Source organism: Homo sapiens, chromosome 13 (genome assembly GCF_000001405.40).
Source record: "Homo sapiens chromosome 13, GRCh38.p14 Primary Assembly".
Classification (NCBI taxonomy): Eukaryota; Metazoa; Chordata; class Mammalia; order Primates; family Hominidae; genus Homo; species Homo sapiens.
In genome coordinates this window covers 111531039-111554155 of record NC_000013.11, presented here as the reverse complement: position 1 = coordinate 111554155, position 23117 = coordinate 111531039, and the positions used below count along the sequence as shown (strand labels likewise).

The 23117-nt window shown below is 46.9% G+C and overlaps 1 annotated feature.

The window, feature by feature from the left end:
- Positions 21487 to 22181: an enhancer, noted in NCBI's record as "OCT4-NANOG hESC enhancer chr13:112184322-112185016 (GRCh37/hg19 assembly coordinates)". NCBI's record gives its function as "activates a minimal SCP1, AML or CMV promoter by ChIP-STARR-seq in naive H9 embryonic stem cells {active_cell/tissue: H9 hESC(naive)}" and the evidence as "EXISTENCE:reporter gene assay evidence [ECO:0000049][PMID:30033119]".

The following is a 23117-nucleotide window of genomic DNA, read 5'->3' as shown; positions in this document are numbered from 1 at the left end:
ACTGAAAGTTGGGAATTCAAGACCAGCCTGGCCAATGTGGTGAAACCCTGTTTGTACTAAAAATACAAAAAAAAATTAGCCAGACTTGGTGGTGCATGTCTGTAATCCCAGCTATATGGGAGGCTGAGGCAGGAGAATTGTTTGAACCCAGGAGGTGGAAGTTGCAGTGAGCCGACATCATGCCAGTGCCCTCTAGCCTGGGCAACAGAGCAAGGCTCTGTCTCAAAAAGAAAAAAAAAAAACCAAATATGTCAAAGAAATACATTTTACAGTAAAATATTTCTATTTCCTTCCATTGCAAATGTGGGCAGTGTATTCACCCAGCCCAGAGAGCACACATTTCATCGTGGAGGGTCAGAGAAGAATGAGCAGGCATCTCTTCCTCGGGGTATTTAAGGACAAAAGTGACAGCTCACACCGTGGGCTCCAAAACATGCAAACAATTTCTCAGGGATCGCTAATGAAGACAGTCAAAACGTGTAGAAAAATACATATTTCCGCAAACCATCAAAGTGCGTTGTCCTTCAAGGTGAAATATTGACCGCCTTGGTCAGCACTTACTTTTCAGATCAATATGTCTGATGGGTGTTCTCAACAGAAGTCAATAATGCTTTATTACTCAAGATCTCATTCCACTGGCTGAGAGCTTGGCTGCAGCAAATCACTGACAAGCACCTTGGCCAACAGCAGAAGAACACAGCCTGGCCGCGTGGGGGCCATCAGCGAGCGCTTCAGGAGGTTAGAGGCCCGGCCAGTTGGCCGGGCAGCTCATCAGGACACAACTTAGGAATCATTAGTGCTGCTCCAGAAAGGGGAGTGGGTGCTGGAGAGCAGGAGAGCAGGTGAGCAGGTGAAAGGGGAATGGAGTTGGAAACAACAGAAAATGTATCAGAGCTGGTAATGGAGAAAACTGTGGCTGCAAAGCCTCAAAGGCCATCCACTCCCTCCCTCTCACATTCATCCAGTAAACATTGCTGAGGTCCGGTCATGTGGAGATGCAGAGCCCAGTGCTGAGGATATAGAGATAGGTTTGCTGTGGGGTACAGTGTGATGAGGGCCTCTGTGTTACAGGGCAAGGCACAGGCACTCCCACAGCCCAGGCAAGCCTCAGGGATCGGGGCATCCTCTTGGCAGGCAGAGGTGTGGGCAGCTCAGGGCTGTGTTCCAGGGCCACACCAGGATGGTGGTCCAGACAGAAGAGGTGCAATGGACCAGCTATGAGAAAGCACCAGTGCATCTAGGAATCCAGAGTAATTTGGCCCACCTGGAGCAGAGGGGACATGGCCAAGAGTTTTAAGACATGAAGCAGAAAACAGAGAAAGAGACTAGATCAATAATGTCTTTATGCAACAGTAAGATATGTGGCCATTGTCCTGAAGAGGAAGAAAGAGGTATGACTTTAAGGGAGAGTGGTGAGTGATAATTACATTTTTGAAAGCCCACTGGGATAGCACTGCCGAGGCTGGACTTGGAAGGGACAGGAATACAGGGAGGTAGGGCAGGAGGCTGGACGCAGCCACAAACCCGTCAGGAAAGGAGGAGTCAGGAGGCAGAGAGGAGAAACAGCTGAATGACATTTCTCTTACAGAAACAGATGAATGGAAAAGAGTTCCTCATAGTGAAAAAAAGACTGGAAGGAAACAGGATGCGGACAATAAGCAGTGCGATGTTCACCTGCTTCGTTATGTTACATTATGTAACTGCTCAACAATAAACATGCTACATTTATAATGTGGGAAACTAGTGCAGATGAATGGAAAAGAGTTCCTCATAGTGAAAAAAAAGACTGGAAGGAAACAGGATGCAGACAATAAGCACGGGATGTTCACCAGCTTCGTTATAATGTTACATTATGTAACTGCTCAACAATAAACATGCTACATTTATAATGGGGGAAACTAGTGCATGATAACATAATTTTTTTTAATTTCCATATATATGTAGATAGTATAATTGACAAGAGTTGGCAATGAATGTTTTGGTAGGTTAGTGCAAGGGAAGAGACATTGTTTAAGATCCCTTCTAGAGCCTGGCTGCAGTAGAAATGCCACCTAGTGCAACTGGGAATAGAAGAGGCAGAGTTTTGCAGTAGAAAGTTATGAACTTGCCTCGAATTGATTTGGGGGTCATGGTAAGTCACTAACTCACTATGTACAACATCACGTAAACAGAAACATGAGTCTGAAATCCAGGAATAAGATCTGGAATGAAGATTCAAATAAAGTGTGTTCAGTGAAAAGAGAAGTTCAATTTGCTGGGTTTTTAGTTGGTGATTTTGGTTTGTTTTTTACTTAATAAATTGATTTACTTATTGGTAAAAATAAAATGTCACTACATTAACATCTTCACATCAAAAATTGCCTCTCCTCATTTCCTGTACCTCTTCTGGAAACACAGGTGAGCCAAAGGCCAGGCAAAGCTCAGTAGATGAAGAGATGAATGGGGGCAGGGTGATGGGAAAAGCAACCTGTCCCAGCTGGCACAGGTGTGCCCTGGGTTCTGAGAAGGTGAGGGGGGTCACCACCCCTGGTGTGCACATTTGGCAGCATGGCCAAATGAACCCAGGACAGGAACATTCGGTGGATGAGTTTCAACATCACGCTACAGAAAGGATGCCAAGTAACATGCCCTGTCACATACCACTGCTCAGCAAAGCCCCACTGCCCTCTAATTAAATTGGCTTCTGTATGAAGCCTGCAGAGGCCCAAGCAGAGGTAGCTGAGAACACTGCAGCCCAAAGCAAGGGCTGGTTTGCAGGAATGATGTCACAGATCAGCAGAGCCTGCAGAACATGCCTCAAGGGCTCCTTAGAAACCAGCATCACAGCCTGGAGGCATGGGGGCTGAGAAGGCTTCACCCTGAGATGCGTGGAGACATGATCGCCAAAGAGCAACGTGTCTCTTTCCTTTGGGATATCTTTCTTGTTGAGATTAAGGCAGGAGATGCCATTTGCTTATGTTATTATTCACACCACTTTTCATCAGAACTGAGCTCCAGGTCTGCTTATAAAATGTTGCTGCTGCTTTTTAATGTTTAAGTCCAGATTGCTAAATAGAATATACTACAGAAACTCCTTAGCTTTCTGGTATTACATAATGCATTAAGAAAGACACTGGGGAAGTATTGAGAATGCTCATTCAATAACTTTGAAGACAAAACAGGGTTCTCATATCAGAATTCTACAAGCACTGTGTTTAATAGGTACAGCCGGAAGTGAGAGGAAGTATGCATCATAGAGTGTAAAGCAGGCTTCAGCTGTAACATGCAAGCGAACCCCAAGGAGCTTGTGAAAATGCAGATTCTGATGCAGGAGGCGCTGGGTGCAACCTGAGTGTCCGCATTTCTAACAACCTCCCAGGTGAGGTTGATGCTGCTGGATCAAGGAACAGCTTTGCAAGGATAAAAATACATTCTCTTTGCCCAAATTAACACCCATGTTATCCTTTAAGATGCAGAAGACCTTTCCTAACCTACCTCCTACTCCACACAGGCTGGAGAAGTAGCCCCCCCACCACCCAACCCCACCTTTCACTGGGATTCTGTGTACCTGTATCAGTGTAATTCCCACATGACGTTACATTGCCAATTTATATGCTCCCATCCCACTAAGCGAAGAGAATCCTGAACATAGGAACTGAGTTTTTTTAATCTATGAATCATCAGTGACAATGGCTGGTACCTAGTGAATGTTTAATAAATGTTTGTTGGAAAGATAAATAGATAGATGGATAAATGGATGAGTAGGTGGGTGGGTGGGTTGATGAATAGATGAATGGATGGATGAAAATATGAGTGGATGGATGGATGGATGGACAGATGAATGGAAATATGGATGAATGGATAGATGAATGGAAAAATGGATGGATGGGTGGAAATGATGGATGGATAGATGGATGGATTGATGGATGGACAGATGAGTAGAAGGATGGATGGATGGATGGACAGATGGATGGAAATATGGATAAATGGACAAATGGATGGAAATGATGGATGGATGGATGGATGGATGGATGGATGAATAGAAAGATGGATGGATAGATGGATGGATGGAAATATGAATGGATGGGTGGGTGGGTAGATGGATGGATGGATGGAAATATGGATGGATGGATGAGTGGATGGACAGATAAGTAGATAGATAAATGGGTGAAGTTCAAAGCATGGTCTTAGCTTTGCTACTAATTACTTATAAACTGTGAGCCAGTTTCTTAATCTTAATTTCTTTTATAAAATTAAGGGACATGACGGTTTCAAAAGGCTTTTCCAATTTGAAAGTTGTAGCATTAACAACTAAAATTGATTGAAGGCATACTTGGTGGCACTCTGCTGGGTACTTGGGTGGATTATCTCAGTTCATCTTTACAAAAACATATGAGACAGGTGCTATTATTGACTACATTTCACAGAGGAAGGAACTGAGCCTGAGAGAGATTAGGTGACTTGCTTGTGTTCACTTAGTGAATGATTAAGCCAGGACTCACCCCAGCTCACGGTAGCCTGGCACTGAGCCTTATCACCAGAACAGTGGGCAGCCCCTTAAAACAAACAGACCAAAGCAACCAAGAGAAAGTCTAGCCACACTGATAAAGCCTGGCTTTTCCAGGATGAATTGCAGCAGATTGTGAGCTGCTAAGGTAAATGGTTTCCCTGCTGAAACGGTGAGCCATCTCTTTAGCTACATTGAATGCTCTCCAGGGCCATGTGTGCAATTCTGTGCATAATTCTCAGTGACTGTCTCCACAGGGTGATCCTGGCTCCCCAGCCTTGCTGCCCCACTAGGAGTAGGCTGTGATACGAGAGCAAGGAGGGGAAGGGGTCTCAGAGGAGGGGTTTCTATGGAGCAATCAAGAGCTTTCCAGGTACGGGGCAAAGGAGAAGAAGAGAAGAAGTGGGAAGTTACTCAGAGTGTAGAAGCTCTCAGAAAAGTCTGGAAAGTGATGGGCAGTTGCTCCTTGATATTTAGGGAGTAAACGAGGGAAATGCCAGCTTCTTAGAGAAACCTGCACATCCAGCAACCTGCGTAGCTAGGATAGTCCTGGAAGAGCCGAAACAGAGCACCCAGGCGCCTGCATCCCAGAGAATGTCCAGGGCTCACGGGGGGCCCTCTGAAGGCGCCAAGGGGGCCCATGATCCCTGCCATGGGGCACAGAAGTGTGAGAGAGCTCTGGGCTGGGAAAGGATGGAGTCGCGGGGAGGGGGCGTGAAGAACCCGGAGACCAGAGACCCAGGCCAGGGCCACAGTGACTTTCATGGGCTCTAGGCACTCTCTGCCTTTATGGGGCTCTGCCTCAGTAACTATTGAAAGTCCTATTTCATGACTATGTTGGTATGAAGATAAATATATTAATATTAAATATTAAAATAGTTTATTTGACCTAAAGTTTTTTTTTTCCTGGTTTTAAAAGAAAGGCATCTCCAAGGGCTCCTGAAAGTACTGTGGTCATTAGTTGAGCCTGTCTGCCTGCCGGGAAGTCAGCCCCAGCTGCAGCTTCAGGAGCCAACCCAGAAGCCAGCCAGGAACAGGGGCCCAGCGCCCGCAGCAGACGCCAAGGCTGGGTGCTCCATGGCCGGGGGCTCACTCAGGAGACATCAGGACCCACAGGAGCAAGCGCAGCCAGCGATGGCGTGGGAAATACGCGCCTCCCGTGGGCTCAGCCACAACCCGGGAGGGCGGCAGGGAGCAGCGGCCCGCCAGCGATGCACGCCGAATTCCCGCAGTGTTGCCTGAACGAGACTGCGAGGCAGAAGAGACTGCCTTGCTGCGAACAGATGCAGAAACTGCTGTCCCACCTCTCTCACTGCTGGCCTTCAGCGGGAGTGGGGTTCCCAGGGCAAGCCCCCTGGCCGGCAGCGAGTTTGACGTCCACACCCACTGCGTGCCCCATTACATTTCGGCTTTAACAAGTGGTTTCATCCATTTTCTTCTCGAAATACATCTCTCCGGGAACAATATATGAGGACATTTTCCGTTTTATCCATCCCTGACCTCACCTGACCCTCGGGCCCAGCAACCCGGGCTCCACAAGCCGGGCAGGGGATCTCTCCGGCACCCTCACGTCTGAGAATCGACTCCGGACCACACTCCCCCCGGCTCCCCGTCTGTCGGAGTCGCCCTGGGTCCCGCGCAGTCGCCTGCTGTCCGGTTTAATAGACCGGGGGGGGCCTGACAGTCCCACAGGCGCCCAGGCGATTCCGGTGCCGCCGGTCCCCGGACCCCGGTCTGAGGAGCGAGGCTCCGTGGAGTCCTCCCCTGACGTGTGCAAGGAAGCCGGAGTCTCCAACGCATTGCGGAGCTAAGGAACCCTGGAAGCTTGCTCAGAACAGAAGGCGCAGGGTCCCTCCTTCATCCCCAGCACCTCCGCCCATCCCCGAGGACAGGGCCCTGTCGCCTTCTCCTGCGCCGAAGAAAACCACAGGTCCCAGGAGGCGGTCATTCCTCTATCACGGCCTCAAGAAAAAGTTCGCTTTTGTTCACACTTGGAGCTTTGCGTTGCTGCCGCTCAAGGACTGAAGTCCCCAGCATGGCTCTCTCCAAACCTCCGCCGCTCATTGCCAACGATATTATAAGATTTTACTGTGTCAGAGATGTGTTGGGGTTTAGAAAAATGGGAGCTGGGGAGCCCTGGATCCTGCGTACTAAGAGGGGTGTCTGTGGGGAGCCGTGTGGGCCCACACCCCACCACCTGGGGAGGGGTCTGGCCAATCATGGGATGGCCAACTCCCCACCTTCAGCCGGTTCCTGTGGGTGAACTCCTATCCATCCGGCCACCCACAAGACAAGCTCCTAGAGTGAGACACCTTCTCCACCTCTAGATAGGGAAGTAGAGGTGTGTGAAATGATCGACAGGGGATTTGTACACATGCTGTAAAGGGCTGCTGTGTGATAAACCACCCTACAATTTGGTGGCTTAAAACAACAGCAATGTCCTTTGCTGATGACCTTATCGTTTGGGCAGGAGTGGCGGAAATGACATATCTGGACTCTGTGTGGTGTTAGCTGCGACGACTCAGGTGGAGGCTGGAGGGGTCCCCCTAAAGTCTCTTAACCGCATGGCTGGCAAGGTGGTACAGGCTGCAGGCCACGGGCCTCAGGGGTTCCCCACGTGGCCCCCACATCCACACTTCCTGTGGGCTTCCTCCAAGCATCCCCAAAAAGCAACATGAAAACATAGACCATGCTACGGCGAATTCTAGGAAATCCAGAGCATTACAGTAGCCCCCTTGTCCACAATTGCACTTTCCACGGTTTCAGTGACCTGCGGTCAATCTTGGTCCAAAAATATTAAGTGGAAAGTTCTAGAAACAAATCAATTTTAAGTTTTAAGTTGTGGTCAGTTCTGAGCAGTGTTATGAAATCTGGGCTGTGCCTCTGTATCCTGAGACACAAATCATCCCTTAGTCCAGTGTAACCAGACTCTGCGCTGTCTCGCCTGTCACTCTATAGGAAAAACACAGCACACGTAGGGGTCAGGTACTATGTGATTTCAGGCATCTGCTGGGGGTCTTGGGATGTATCCCCATGGATAAGGTGGGGGCTACTCTAGGTCCACCACGCTCAGTGGTCCTAGGAAGTTGCAAAGGCCCACCCTGGATGGAGGGAGGGGCCATGGACCTCACCACCTGCTCTGCGTGCAGCATCCGTGGAAGCAAACGCTTAATGGCTTCATCCAAAAGGTCAATGTCAGACTGGAAACCACAGATATCACCTCTCCTTCCCCTATATGCAATCATTCTCATTTACAACCTTCCAAAACAGGCCCTCCACTCCAGGCTAGCCAGTTTCCCAGCCCTGCCTCAGCTTCCCCATCCATCCCCCATGGCACTGGGTTCTTTCCTCCTCCCGGGAAGCCTGCGGCACTCGGTGGACACAATTCAAACAGCAAAGCCCTGGCAGCTCAGCTCCCTCCAGTCCCTGCCTTTCTGTTCCCTGGGGACAAATGGCCTCTGGACAACATTAGCAAATAGTCCTTTAAATCCTCTAAGGGTCTTTCTCCTCTCCCAACTGGAGCTGAGGGTCCTTCACGGTGTTTACCACAGCTTCACCCAAAGGAAGTCAGGCATACAGAAAGTGCTCAGTTAACAGTCACAGAAAGGAAGCCAGGCCTACAGAAAGTGCTCAGTTAACACTCACGGAAAGGAAGCCAGACATACAGAAAGTGCTCAGTTAACACTCACGGAAAGGAAGCCAGACATACAGAAAGCACTCAGTTAACAGTCACGGAAAGGAAGCCAGGCCTACAGAAAGTGCTCAGTTAACACTCACGGAAAGGAAGCCAGGCCTACAGAAAGTGCTCAGTTAACACTCACGGAAAGGAAGCCAGGCATACAGAAAATGCTCAGTTAACACTCACGGAAAGGAAGCCAGACATACAGAAAGTGCTCAGTTAACAGTCACGGAAAGGAAGCCAGGCCTACAGAAAGTGCTCAGTTAACAGTCACGGAAAGGAAGCCAGGCCTACAGAAAGTGCTCAGTTAACAGTCACGGAAAGGAAGCCAGGCCTACAGAAAGTGCTCAGTTAACACTCACGGAAAGGAAGCCAGGCATACAGAAAGTGCTCAGTTAACACTCATGGAAAGGAAGCCAGACATACAGAAAGTGCTCAGTTAACAGTCACGGAAAGGAAGCCAGGCATACAGAAAGTGCTCAGTTAACACTCACAGAAAGGAAGCGAGGCCTACAGAAAGTGCTCAGTTAACACTCACAGAAAGGAAGCCAGGCATACAGAAAGTGATCAGTTAACATTCACGGGTATCACTTGGATTCTGCATGGAAAGCTTTATAAACAAGTGGTTTGTTAATTTGAGGGATGAGACTTGAGGATGGAAGACGATTGTAAAAAGCAACCTGAAAATCTAACCCCAACGTCAGCCCTATTTTATGGCTCTTTTTAAATCCTCTCCCTGTTTATGAATCTTTTAGTTGATGCTGCTTGAAAAACTGTGTTTTTAAGATTATCTCCTGATGCTACATTATCAGAGAGGCACTTTTATGTGGCTAGAATATTGATCTTACTATACAGCATTTGACCACTCAATACTTTTTGTATTTATAGAAAAATGTTATCAACAAGGGGATGGTGCTGGTATGGAACCCGTTTTAGCAGGATTAATGTCAACGTCCCCAGAGAGAATGTGACTGTGTTTAGAAATATTTATAATGGAGATAGTTATTTTTTACTAGGATGTTTCTATAGACGATTATAAGTTTGAAGTGATTATAGTCCTAATTTTCTTATTGTACTCCATTTCTTCCCATTTGAACCATTTTGGAACAGAGAATGAAGTGGCAATATGGCCCAGGATCTTGTATTGTATTGAAAATTGTGTTTGTTATCAAGTTGGGATTTTCTTACATGAGCCATGCATCCATCGGTGCTGATGAGGAATGTGGTGATTGGTGTCTACAGTTGAGCCATGCGTTCATTGCTGCTGATTGGAAATGTGGTGTGTGGTGTCTGCAGATGAGCCATGCGTCCGTCAGTGCTGATTGAGAAATGTGGTGTGTGGTGTCTACAGTTGAGCCATGCGTCTGTCGGTGCTGATAGGGAATGTAGTACTTGGTGTCTACAGTTGAGCCATGCGTCCGTTGGTGCTGATGGGGAATGTGGTGTGTGGTGTGTATAGTTGAGCCATGCGTCCGTTGGTGCTGATGGGGAATGTGGTGTGTGGTGTCTACAGTTGAGCCATGCGTCCGTCGGTGCTGATAGGGAATATGGTGTGTGGTGTCTACATATGAGCCATGCATCTGTCGGTGCTGATCGGGAATGTGGTGTGTGGTGTCTACAGATGAGCCATGCGTCCGTCAGTGCTGATAGGGAATATGGTGTGTGGTGTCTACATGAGCCATGCATCGTCGGTGCTGATTGGGAATGTGGCGTTTGGTGTCTACTCCTGCCTATGGCCAGCACTTCTACTATTTCATTTGACGATAAAAAGTGTAGAAAGCTGTGGCAAGGATGTAAAATAAGTTCTACAGTAAGAGCTGAAGTTCATTTGATGATTTAAAGAGCAACTAACAACAGTGGAAGAATTAAACAAGCATATTCTAAGACCTTACAATTTTTCTTGTACTTTTTGATAACCAGAGAAATGCATTTGTGCATGTGCCCACAGAAATACACACAAAGCTATTCACCGTAGCACTGTTGAATGGAGCAATTCAGTGTAAGATACCTATATATTCATCAGGAAGACCAGGGGTATGTAAGTTGTTGCACATTCATAAGCTAGAATACTATGCAACAGTGAAAAATGAATGAGCGATGAAACATCGTGAATAAGTCTTTAAAACATAAAGTTGAGACACCCCCACCAATAAACACAAAAATATGTAGACAACAGGCTGGTATTTACATAACATTTCCCAGCTCTGACTGATATGTAGTGTGTAGTATGAATTTGTATATATGTACATGCATGTATGTGTGTGCCTGTCTTTGTGTATGCAAATGCATGTCTGTGCACATGTGTTGTGTGTGTATATACTAATATTTACTAATATGTAGCAAATTTATGCTACATATTAGTCTTCAAAACAACCAACGCAGCACAGCACTCACCTCTGGGAGGGAGGGTGGGCGTGGCGAGAGGGGTCTGTTGCGGCTTCCCTGTTAAGCTCTGTGATGGGGACAGGGGTATTTGTAACACGATGTCTTCTTTTTTGTATATCTGCCCAAAATATTTCATCATGAAATTCTACATGTGTTATTTACCAGAAGAAGACTTAATTCTGATCCACGTTCCAGAGAAAAAAGAGCAGTTGTTTTTCATGAATCTAGCACTTTCTGTTGCTCAAACTCACATCTCTCCCCTGACTGAAGCCCTCCCCAGCCCCACGCTTTCGGAGGAACTTCCCTGATGTTCCAAGCACGTGACTTCCGCCACCCCTCCCCAGAAGGCCTGCGTCTGCCCTGAGCCTGCCCCTTGTCTATCCCACTGCTCGGAGGCAGGAGCAGCTCACATGGCACCTATGTGGGCACCACATCTCAACAAGCTCCATTTGGCCACTGGTGAGCAGGCAGCAGTTAGCTACCTTTAGACTAGCAAGTCTGCAGACAGTGTTCTTCCAAATGGGCAATGTCACAGAGCAGAGGTCACACCGCTGGCCGGGCAGAAGGCCTCTGCAGATAGGCCTGGAGCAGACGGGGCTGGCCATCCCCATGCTGAGCTGGCCTTGCACCTTAACCTCATGCAGGCCACTCAGCCTTGCCAGGACATTCTACCTGCCAAGATGATGACAGCACTTGGCAACAAACTGTCTCAGCATGTAAGAGTACATCGCCAGGGCAGGGGGCTTCCCTGCACGGTGGACTCCAAACAATGATTCACATGCCAATGTAACCCAGACATGGATTCCTCTTTGTTATTCCTTCATCCATACACACACACACACACACACACACACACACGTGTACCCATACATGCACGTGCATATAAACATACACACACATGTACACAGAAACGAATGCACACATACACACATGCATACATGTAGATTCCACTCTCAAACCAAATCTACCCTCTCAATATATCACTAAAAATCTCATAAACATAACAGGATGAGTTCATTTTGAACAGTGAGTACTAATTCTCCAGATTATGTCACACTTCATTTAATCTTGCTCATTTCTTATGATTAATACTGGTTTGCTCCTTCAAAAAAACTTAGTCAACAGGGAACTAGGAAAGAGGACTGACCTTCCTAAATCTCTTATAGAAGCAAAGCAGAGAAAAAGACCATTTTCTGAGGTTAGGGTCTTTCTAATTCAAGAGAACGATACAGTGTCATGAGCCAGAAACAGCGGCCAGCAGATGTCACGTCCTGTTTTCCACCAGGACAGATGACACAGGCCTTGTCAGATGAAGCAACAGTCAGACAGAGAATCCTGAAGCTTCTGCCAGGAACCTTGAAGGAAACTGAGTAAATGTCTTTTACCAACACTCCGCAGCATGGAGAAACCACACATGAGAAAACATTTGATTACAGAGCAACTCCATTTCCACGGGGTTTATAATCAAACTCTGAGACTAAGGGCTGACGAGTTAGGGAAGAAACAACCAGCACCCTGACGAAGCGCTCCATCTTCATGTTAGAACCCCCTGAGAGTTTGCAAAGTGCAGACTGCCTGGCCCCCTGTGGTTTTGCTTCGGCCCTAAGTTCCCTTCGTGGTTCCAACGAACTCTGCTAGAAACAGCTCGGGCTCCGGGGCACTGTGGCAAGAGCTAGAACAAGCCCTGTTCATCCTTAGTGAGGACAGCCAGCATCAGTGTCACGTGGGAGCTCGTTAGAAATGCAGGGTCCCAGGCCCCACCCCAACCCCTAGATCAGTATCTGCATTTCAACAAGATGTGCAGGGAATTGCAATGTGCATTAAAGCTTAGAAGCAGACTGGCTTCTCCAGAGACCCATCCTGCGGATGCAGGTGTCAGTAATGTGAGTCTCGACTTTGAGCCACAAGTTAGAGATTACGGCCAGAGAAAGACTTAGTGCGTAGCCAGCAGAGGATGGCTTTTGCCTGAAGAGATTCGAGGAAGCTGCTTCACAGCCGAAGAAGCCTGGGCTGGGGCGAGTCTGTGCTGCCACTCAGCTGCCTTGGGTTCAGGCAAGAAGCTGAATCCCGCAGGGTGTTCCGGGATGCCATTGCAGCCTGACCAGAAGGGGCTTTGATGGTGTAGCCCTGTTTGTTTCCTCTGAATATCTTTTTCTTTTCCTTTCCAGTTTAGCCAGCTCTTCACTGAGTGCTGATCACACCCCCGCAGGGTCTGTGCAGTCCTTCGGTTTAATAATCTTTGAGTACATTATTTTACATCTGTTCTTGCTCTATAAAAGAAACAGACTTTTCATTCCACTGTCCACTTCGTGCCTGTTAAAAATTCAGGGACACAATTCCATTTCAGTGGAATGCACCAGGACACCCAATCTTTTATTAATGCAAATTGTGTTCATTTTTGGCTAGTGAGGCAATTAAATTTTCCACGGCAATTAAGAAGTCACCAGCACTGAACCTCCTTCCACATCCAGGTGTGGACTGGCCAGCAGGTGAAGACACTGAGAAAAGAGAGGATTCCACACAAACCCCGTGGCCTCAGAGCTCTCCCACCCGGGGTTCTTGCCAGGGACAGACTGGCCAAAAGACTTGATGCAAGTGTTCAAAATGTTCGTCTTTCAGTATTCCATTCATTTTAATTAAATAGTCATCAAAATTATAATTAAAGTTTCTAAAGGAGTTAAGCCTGTAGCCCCCTCCCTGTCCAGTAGGGTTTAGGCAAATGTCTGTTTTTCACGGCACCAATCTCTGTTGCTCTTCCTTACATTGCTTTCCCTCCAGTTTCTAAATTACCTATTCTTCATCCCAATAACGACCAAGAAAGGGTTGCTTCTCCAGCTCCTTTCCCCACCCCTCCCCAAGGGCAGCCCCGGCCTGGTCCCACTGCCCATCATTTGGAGCATCTGCCCTGCCTCGCCCCTGACTCCATCGGACGAAGTCCTGCGCCCTCCGTGCCCCGCCACTCCCCACCCAGCTCAAAGGTCCTGCAGTGGATGCATTTCATCCCCGGCCCCATGCCCCCCACTCCATTTGTGTTGGTTAGCATTTTTACTTTAAAGATTATATGTAATTAATAAACAACTGTGAGTCTCTCCACTGTCACAAAGAATGGTGTACCTTGAATACAGACGCTCCTTCAGGGGCTCAAGTCAATGCATACCCAGGGAAGGAAGGTGGCTGGGCCCCGTTGCCACCACTGCCTGCTGCCGCCCTGTACAGAAGACTCCCGCAAAGGCAGCTGGGCAGGTGGACAGAGCCAGAGAGGGAGGGAACCTCTCCTGGGCACAAGCATCGGAGGAGAGGAAGGAGAGCCTCCAGGCACCATGCTCAGGCCCAGGACCCAGTAGCCATAGAGGAGCACTGTCCAGAGCCCTGGGAAAAAGGAGCCCGGAACTTGGGGAGGGGGGACGGGGCAAAAGAAGCAGAGAGAGGAGCAAATGGGAGGCTTGCAGCAGCTCCGACCCCGAACAAAGCCATAGAGCATGGGCCCTGGGAGACAAGACGCAGTGAGGGAGAGTGCTCCCCCTGCAGCTGTGAGGGCAGCGGTGCCCTGGGGGTGCTGGGGACAGGAGTGGTGCCCATGAATGGCCGCTGGGATGGTGAGGGTAGAGGGGACAGAGAGGAGCATCCAGGGAGCCGGGGTCCCGAATCTAGCAGTTTGGTTGGGACACTATTGGTGAGAGACGCGGGTACCAAGGACGGGGGCCCCTGCCAGGCCTGACTTCACTCAATCCTCATCTTCTCTCCATCTCCAGCCTTGTTTGTGGAACGGGAATGATAGCAGCAGCCCCAAGGACACATCCATGCTCAGCAAACCCCAGCAGGGCCCCTGAATCTCAGAGGCAGGAATCGCAGCCACCCACCGGGGAGAGAAACTACAGGTGCGTGCCCGGCACTGCAGGTGCCAACAGGAATCATCTTTCCTCAACACCTTGCCAGTCTGACCAACTGAAAGAAGGGAAAGAACTGAAGAATCACATAAGGAGGTTAAACATTTCCCACAAAGGGGAAGAGCAGTGGGCCTGGTAGACTCTATGACTGAACTGGGGCTTGTCCTACTCAGGTGCCATGGGCCTCCTGGGTAGATCATTGCGGGGCGGTGCATCCCGCACGAGGGGGTGTGAGCAGCGTCCCGGCCTCCACCCTCTGATACCAGGCACACCCCCTCCGGTGACAAATGGAAATGTCACCATGGGACATTTCCCAAGGCCGCAGGGGGTGGCCCGAGTTGTGCACCCCTGAATAAGGCATGTTTGTATGGTTCCTGGTGCCTCAAGCACAACTGCGGGGCCCCACGCCTGCTTTACTGGTGGAAATGGTGTGGCCGCTTGGGAAAATGGTTAGGTATTTTCATATTTTCTTATAAAGTTAAATGTGCAATCCTACTCCTAGAGAAATGAAAACTTATGTTCATCAAAAAGCTACATACCAATGTTTAGAACAGCTTGATTTGTGAAAGCAAAAGTTGGAAATAATCCAGATGTCCTACAACGGGTAAATGAGTAAACAATTTACTTGGCATGACATTTCCACACCGAGAAACCCTCCCCAGCATCAGAAGGAATCACCTGTCCATAGACACAGCTACCTGGTGGCCCTCACAGACACCGTGCTGAGGCGGAGAAGCCTCTCAAAGGTGGCCGGAGGTTTCAAGTCATCTGACATCGCAAAGACTCTAATGACGGAAAACAGACCAGGTTCCCGGTGAGGGCTGATGTGGTAGGGTAACAACCTACCCTCGGACACACCACGTTTCAGCACTGAAAGTCCCCCATCCACACGAAACCCCTCAGTCCCAGGAAACCCAGGCCGGTGGGTGGCCACAGGTATGACGACAGGGAGCTTGAAGGTGAAGGCATATTCTATATTCTGATTACGGCAGTGGTTATACAAATCTACACGTGTAGAAATTCGTAAAGCTGCAGACCAAAAGGAAAAAATAGCTAACTTTACTACATGATAATTTTCAAGACAAAAGAAAGCAAATGCGCCTATAGAATCGCTTTCAGGGGCGGGAATGCAGCGCAGGGCTCCAGACCTTCCCAGTCTCCCAAGGGGCTGGGGTAGCATGGGAAGAGAGGGTAGAAACGGTTCACTTTGTAAGTAGCAGCCTGCATTTGAGTCCGAGTTGCTCTTCTCAGGTGTAATCCACACAAACGGACCCTCACTCCTCCTTCATTCCTACCAACCTGTGGAAGAGCGAGTAAGTCCCTGGATTAACACAAGCCCTGAATCAAAATCATTCCAGCTAATCCCCATTCTGACACCCGACTCTCCACCTGCAACCTTGCCCGTCCTGTTGGCGCTGTTTCTGCTGTAGTCCTCACGAACACCCCCGGAGGCGGGTACCATCAATCTCCAAGTCTTTTTTTAATTAGAGAACAGAGGCAGAGAGGCCACACCTGAGGCTGAGGCTCAGTCCTTTCTTGGCAGCTCACCTGAGCGCAGGTTTGTGGGCCCTGGGAGCTTCTGAGGCTTGGGACCTCCAGCCTCAGGCCATCAATCTTGTTGCTCTTCAGCTACTGATTTTGGAGTGGGACCGGGCTTCCTGGCCCCCAGACACTTTCTTCTCCAGCCTGGAAGAGGAGCCTCTGCCCACACGACCAGGTGTCAGAGATGCTGTGCCAGGCAGTGAACACTCGCCAAGGAAGACCCAGGCATGAGACTCAGCACCAAGAAGAGTGGGAAGGGCTGCGGGAATCTCCCACACCCTTTGGAATCCAGCCTGGAACCAGGTCTTGGTGTGGAGGGCCTGGTAGCACGCAGCCAAGACAGTGAGGAATAAGGGAGAGAGGCAGGCAGGCCGTAGCCCTGGCCTGGCTGAGCAGAGACTGAGCAATTCAGCAGGAGGCGCGAGGACATCTAGCACCAGCCTGGATCCCTTGGTGAACCTTTGTCTATTAATGGGTCACTTGGTTCCCTTCCAGTGAAAGCGTCATCCCCTGCGTGTTTGCAGAGGCTCTGGGGCTCAGAAGCAGCTCTTCAGTCGCCTGCATGGTCCCCATGTGCCCTCATCTCTCCCATCCCCCCATGCTGGGCATGGAGGCAGCGAGAGGAAGACACCTCCAGCGCCTGGAGATGCTGTGCACAAAGATGCAACGCTCAGGGCAGTGATGTGGTCCCTGTGAGGGGCCTGGACTGAAACCCACCCCGGACAAGAGGTCAGACGCTGCAATTCCCTACCCCGTCCCCCACCAAAATCTGCCCTAAGCCTTCCAGACCCTGCCTCTGCAAAGCAGTTACTGCTGCCACAGGTCATGGCTGGCAGGGGATGGAAAGTGCAGGCCAAAGAGAGAGGAACTTGGAGTCAGGACCCTGAGATGCAGGCCGCTCTGGCCCTGACCTTGTCCACGGCAGCCTCAGCGCAGAAACAAGGAGACACCTTCCGTCACCACGGAGCAAGCCCTTCACCATGTTTTCAAAAACCTGCCATCCTCAGGATGGAGAAGGAGGAGGATGACCGAGGCAGGAAGGAGTTCAAGGGCAGGAGGTGCTGAGGGGCTCAGAGGGAAGGGAGGGAGAACCTGGCAGCGCCCCGAGCTCAGGTCCGGGCCCTGCTGGAGCCTCCGTGGAGCATTTGACAGATGAGTCACGGAAGCCCCCAAGGCTCTGCTTCCTGCGTTTTGAAAGGGAAATAATATGAGTGGGAATAAGATCAAATGAGATAAAACATATGATTATTTTAATAACCTATTGCTATGCCCCACTTGAGCACATTTTAAGTTTCAATTCTGGGGCTAGAACAGCTTCCAAACGGGTTGTACTGCAGATGGTGGGTGACCTCAGTGGATCTGAGGAACCAGTCCCCAAACTGTTCCTTGTCAAAGCAACGACCTTCCGTAAAGACCCTGCAGTGGCATCAAAACACCCACTTGGCTTGACTGGGAATTCAAGCCTGTCCCCACAAACGTGTACCCAACACAGAGTTCTCAACGTCCTCCTGGAAGGGGAGGGTTGACATGCTGTTTCCCCTGGTAGATATTCCATCCTGTGTATAACCGACATTTCTTCTGATGAGAAAAGATCCATCTACCCTAGTTTCAGTTTGGAAACACAAACTGTGATTAAACCGAGAAAATTCATTTCACAGTTTTATTCATCGCCGCCAGTCCCTCCTTCCTAATGATTGTTGGGCTGAGCAAAAGAGACGCCACTTCCCTCTAAAGGTAGCAAATCTAACAGCATATATAAAGCCAACTATGCAAATACGACCACACTATAATTGCTGTGAGAACCGGAACACTGAATTTTATGACTTTTGTGCATTTAACTTTCCTCCCATCATGTTGCATTAACGAAGGGCGTCTTTTTTTTTTTGCATTGAATTTATACCTAATGTGATTCCATTCTGCAGTCTTTACAGATGCAGATGAGGCAGCTATAGCGTTCCTGATGCAAAAACTGTTTTCGCTAAATCATATCAAAATGTTTCATGGATCACACCAAAAAGTGTTGAAATATGGAAATTGGTCTTTTTCAAAAACTGTCCTTAAAATCCAAATGGTATGTTTTGAATTTCTTTTCTCTACACCACACCCTTCCCAGTATTTGTGGAAAATTGGAGAAAATAAGTAATATATTAATTCCATGCTGCCAGGAACAGGAGAGAACGGTCAGACTGAAGCTTATTTTAACTCCCCTCTAAATAAAGGAGGTTTGTTCAGAGCTCGGGCGTTACCCTGGCACACGAAGCAGCAAAAGTTAACATTTAGACAGTCAGAAATGTTTTCTTACCTCACTTCTAAATAAGGGAACAACTAAATAATAATCTTTCTCAATTAGTGACACAAGATTTATATTTTTATACGCAAAAGAAGGCTGTGTACCTCTGTCTTAATGTGCTGTGTATGCACATATATTCAGCGGGATCAAACAAAACTGAAAACTGAAAATTAAAGCACTGTGAAGCTCTACAGGGCACAGTAGCTTCATGCTGCAGTGAGATGCACTCTTTGGCTACCCTGGCAGGCAAAAAAGCGTGAGAAATACTGTCTGTTTTGTATAATCGTTTCCCCGGTTCTTTAAGTAGACTGAAAACCACAACAAAATCTGCTGTGTGGAGAAAATTAACTGTTTGGGGTCTTATGCAAAGAATAATTAAAATGAATGTGAGTACAATTACGTAGATTAATGTAATTAGAAGGAGGTACAGTAGCCAGATATCAAAGACGCATTCTAAGAACCTCCAGGAGAATCAAGGTGGAGTGGAGAACAATACTCTTGAGAAGGCTGGGTGGTCTTCTCAGCAATTAATGGAGCTGAGTCAAAGAGAAGACCTTGAAAAGCTGCAGGAAGAGTGGATAAAGAAGGTGGGCGGGGAGGGGGGTGGTTTATAAAAAAAAAAAAAGACACTACAACAAAAGCAAGACTTCCTGCAGTTGACAGCATTCTTTCGGATGGGAGTGCACATCAGCCTGCAGCTATTTATTTTTCTTCCCGAGATGAAGAAAACGTGCAAATTAAATTAAATGATGCTAACGTACTGGCTACAACGATTATGGGTAGCTCTGCACATTCAGCCAAAATGGCGTTAATATGTCCCAGGACGGGTGAAAACGCGCCCAGGTTCGTCCTCTCCTGAAGGCGGCTGGCTGGGGCTCTGCGAAAAGTGCGCATAGGAGGGGAAGAGAGAGACGAACAAGGAACAGGCAGGGCTCAGCATCCTCCATCCGGGTGATGGGTAATTATTTTCTTAAGTAGAGAATATTAAGCAGCCGTTGGCTTTTCTATGCAATCGCACACCCTACCAGGACCTGGACACATCAGGCTGTCTCAGGGTGCTGGGTGAGCGCTCTCCTTATGCAGCGGCCGCTGCAAGCGGTTGGTTTCCTTTGCTTTGGCTTTAACTGGGGCAGGAGGGAGTCAGTGAGTAGAGCAGACTTGGAAACTACTTAATAATGCTGCTCCAGCGGTATACTTCCCAGTTCAATCACTTCACCCTGGTAGAACACCATACCTGGATTTCTCATCAACGTTAAGTGTGTTTTTTAATATATATAATGGTATTTGAATGACATTTATTTAATAGATTCAAATCATACACTGGGTATCTCTGTTACTGAATTGATTCTCCTTAACATCACTGAACACGTCACGGTCTGTCCCAGCATAATGCCAGGTGGGAAGTTTACACAAAACCACGCTTACTGGATCTATGCCTGGCTCTCAGGAATGAAGGAAAATCCCTACAGAATCGCTGGAAATTTTCCTCTACCCAGCACCACGACCGTAACATTTATTATTATCCCCATTTATTGCTTTCAATCTTTCATTAATAATTTAATGTTTAGAAAAAAACAAGCTCTTCAAAGCAGAAAAAAATCCATTCCAAGCTAAATAAACTTTTTTTTTGTCAGAGTTAAATGTCTTTGCATTTTGAAATGCCAGTTCCGTCACGAAGTCTTCATTAAAACCACTGATTTAGAGAGAAGGAAGTTTTGCTGTGAGCAAACCTCTCTGGGCTGCATCTGTTTGCACAGAGTTGAGAATTCCCTCCTAATGACCAAGTGTATGTGTACACAGTATCATATTTTGAACCTAATCTTGTTTTGGTCTCACACAAGCAGTAGATGTGTTTATTTATATGGATTTAATCAATAACAAGGGCTGCTCTCTACACAGCTCAAATACATCGCTTGAAAGCAAACTGTTATTATGGCATTTCTGAAGTTAGAGCTTCCAGCCCAGACTCTAGCAGAGTCCTTGTCATTCAGAAAGTGCCCTTTTGACTTAATTATCAACCCTTTGCTTGTTGAGTGGAATTATTATCTGAGGCACAGATACAAAATTATTTTTCCTCTGCCAACAGAACATGCAGCAATCCAAGTTAGAAGTGCACATGTACCCTAGAACTTAAAGTCTTAAAAAAAAAAAAAAAGAAAGAAAGAAATTGCATTTCATCACATTTGAGGCCTGAAGGCGGCTGTGGCAATTGCAGATGAGCTCACAGGTGAAGGGGGACGGTCTCCCGTGTTCCTGGGCCTGACTTCAGGAGTGGATTCACATTTCTGCAGGGCAGAGCCCCAGAGGCAAGTGAGTTTTCTTGGTATAAAGGAACCAAGGTTCAGAGGAACTTCACGGACCTGGGCTGTTGATGCCATGGGATTGACTCGCCTTCCTGTAGCCTTCCCTGGATGCCCATCTTCCAATGCTCATATCTTTTTGCACACGGTCTCCCACTTAAGAGGGTGAAGTCTCTGCCCCATTGACCCCGCACCATCTGACCTTTGATCTAGACAGCTTGCTCCAAATTCAGTTCTGAATGACTCCTGTTCTCTCAGGCACAATCTACATAATCCACTGTCAAAAACTGTCAAACAAATGCTTGATTTCATACACCCCATTTCAGCAGCCTGATCAAAACACCGAAAGAGAAGCAAGGAAGGGAGAAAGAAATCTCATCTAGGCTGGAGAGAATGTGGCCCCATAATGAAAAGCCACTGCAAGGAAGGACCCTGTGGGAAGGTAAAAATCCTATGTTTTTGTGAGTGTGCAGATGCCAAGTGCTGAATATGATCTCCACGAAATTCATGACATAAATTATAGCAAATGGGAGCATCTTGCATTTTCTTTTGCCTCCTGGACATGTAGACCCAGATTCTGACAGCTGCCTCAGAGAACAGTGGGGAAAAGTTTGCTAAGTGTTTTGAGAAAGTGTGCAGTTGCTTCTTCTTTGCAGACTTTGGGAGAACGAAGCAGAGTGAGGAGGAAGGGGATGTGTGACAAGTTCCTTTCATATTAGACTATTTTGTTTATACTGTTTTGAAAATAATTTAGACTTTGACTCATAGTAGAAGCATTATAACCTCCAGGATGAATAAATGAATATGACAATTTCTTCTTACATATAACCTGATTTTAAACTATTCTGATCTTTATAAATTTGACTATTTGATGATAAAACACACAACAGCATATTCAATATGCTAATATTCTATATAATTCAGTTTCTTATCATAGCAAAACTTTAAAAACTAAACAACAAATATATTTTCCTTGAGCCCAGATTAATTTAAATAAGTTCTGTTTTCATATTCCATTTTCAAAATTACACAGGAAAAGTTTTTTCCTGCATTTTTTATTTCTAATGACTGAATGGTTAAAAATTTATTTATGTTATTAGATTCAAAGATCATACCTTCTCTTGAAGGTAATGTGCTATTCTGCCTGATTATAATAAACGCCAATGTTTCTACAACGGCAACAGTTCACTGCTGCATTAGCATATTTGGGCTGAGGTATTGTTTTACTATGACCTGTATAATAAGTGTCACATTAGCAACACAACAAATCAAACGTTTGTTAATTTCCCTCGCTTTCCCACACAGCTGGTGGTGTTATCATGTCACCAGATTTTAATTAATATGGTAAGTAACACTTGCAAGACAACAGCCTGATTTTTTTCCCCTCTGTGTGCGTGAGGGTCCAAGTGCCTCCTCTGTGCACGTGTGTGCGTGTGCATGGCTGTACGCGTGTGTGCTGAAGAGAGAAAAGGGGGAGGAAAATATATTCGCAAGGGCTTTTCACAGCAAAGTACAGATACTAAAAACACACACAGACCCATGCGATCCTATTTCCAAATAAAACTTTCTTTACACCATTTTCTTTTGCTCTTCCAGATCAAAGCCTGCAATGCTGTACAATAAACATTTTTTAAAACATTACATAAAATGCACACATTTTATACTTGGGCTGGTTGTGTGTGTTTAAGGTTTTAGCATTTAAGAGAGAGATGCGATACTCTGTCTCCCGAGAGGCTTAATTTTAATTTCTGGCCTTCATGTGAATAGTAACTAACACATTTCTGACTTAGACACACAGACCATTTTAAGTATTTTTCTTGTGCTACGGTCTGATCAGCAATATTCTAGGGTAAGTCAAAAGTGCCATCTATTTGCAAAAGCTAGAAATGCAACTAAGTCCAAAGTGGAAAATCTCTCAACCCGTCCCAGCTGCCACGGCCTCCAGTTGCTGATGACAGACCCATAACGTGGCTCAGCCAGACAGACTGGAAGAAGAACGATAGCACTAAAATACACAACATGAAATCACAGTCCAGTAATTGTTACATTGTCAATAAAATATTTTGCAATGCCTGCACCCAGATTTTATTTAAAACTGTTTCAATGCATTTTTTTTAGCAAAACCTAAGATGGTGTCTAAATTCAAATAACCAGCATCTTGTAAAATATTGCCTGAGAATGAATGTATTTTAACTTTAGATTTTAAAAAATTCATTTAATAAATGACACAGTAGAAACGAAGTCTGTAACAACAGTAGAAACCCTTAAACCATCTCTGGAAAGAAAATTTCAATAAGAAAAATGGTGCAAAATTAGAACTCTCTGTAATGCTTTCTGACTTTAAATATTCTAAAGAGAAAGGAAACCTCTTTCTTCTGGAAATAGAAAGCAGAGATCCTTTTAAAAAGATGAAATTCTTCCCAATCTCCTTATTGTTATTTAACATATTTCCTTCTGTTGCAAAATACAAGACTTCCTCCCACGAGTCCCAGCTTCAATATTCCACCTACACGAAGGGGCCGCAGCAGTAGAATGCCTCTGATAGACC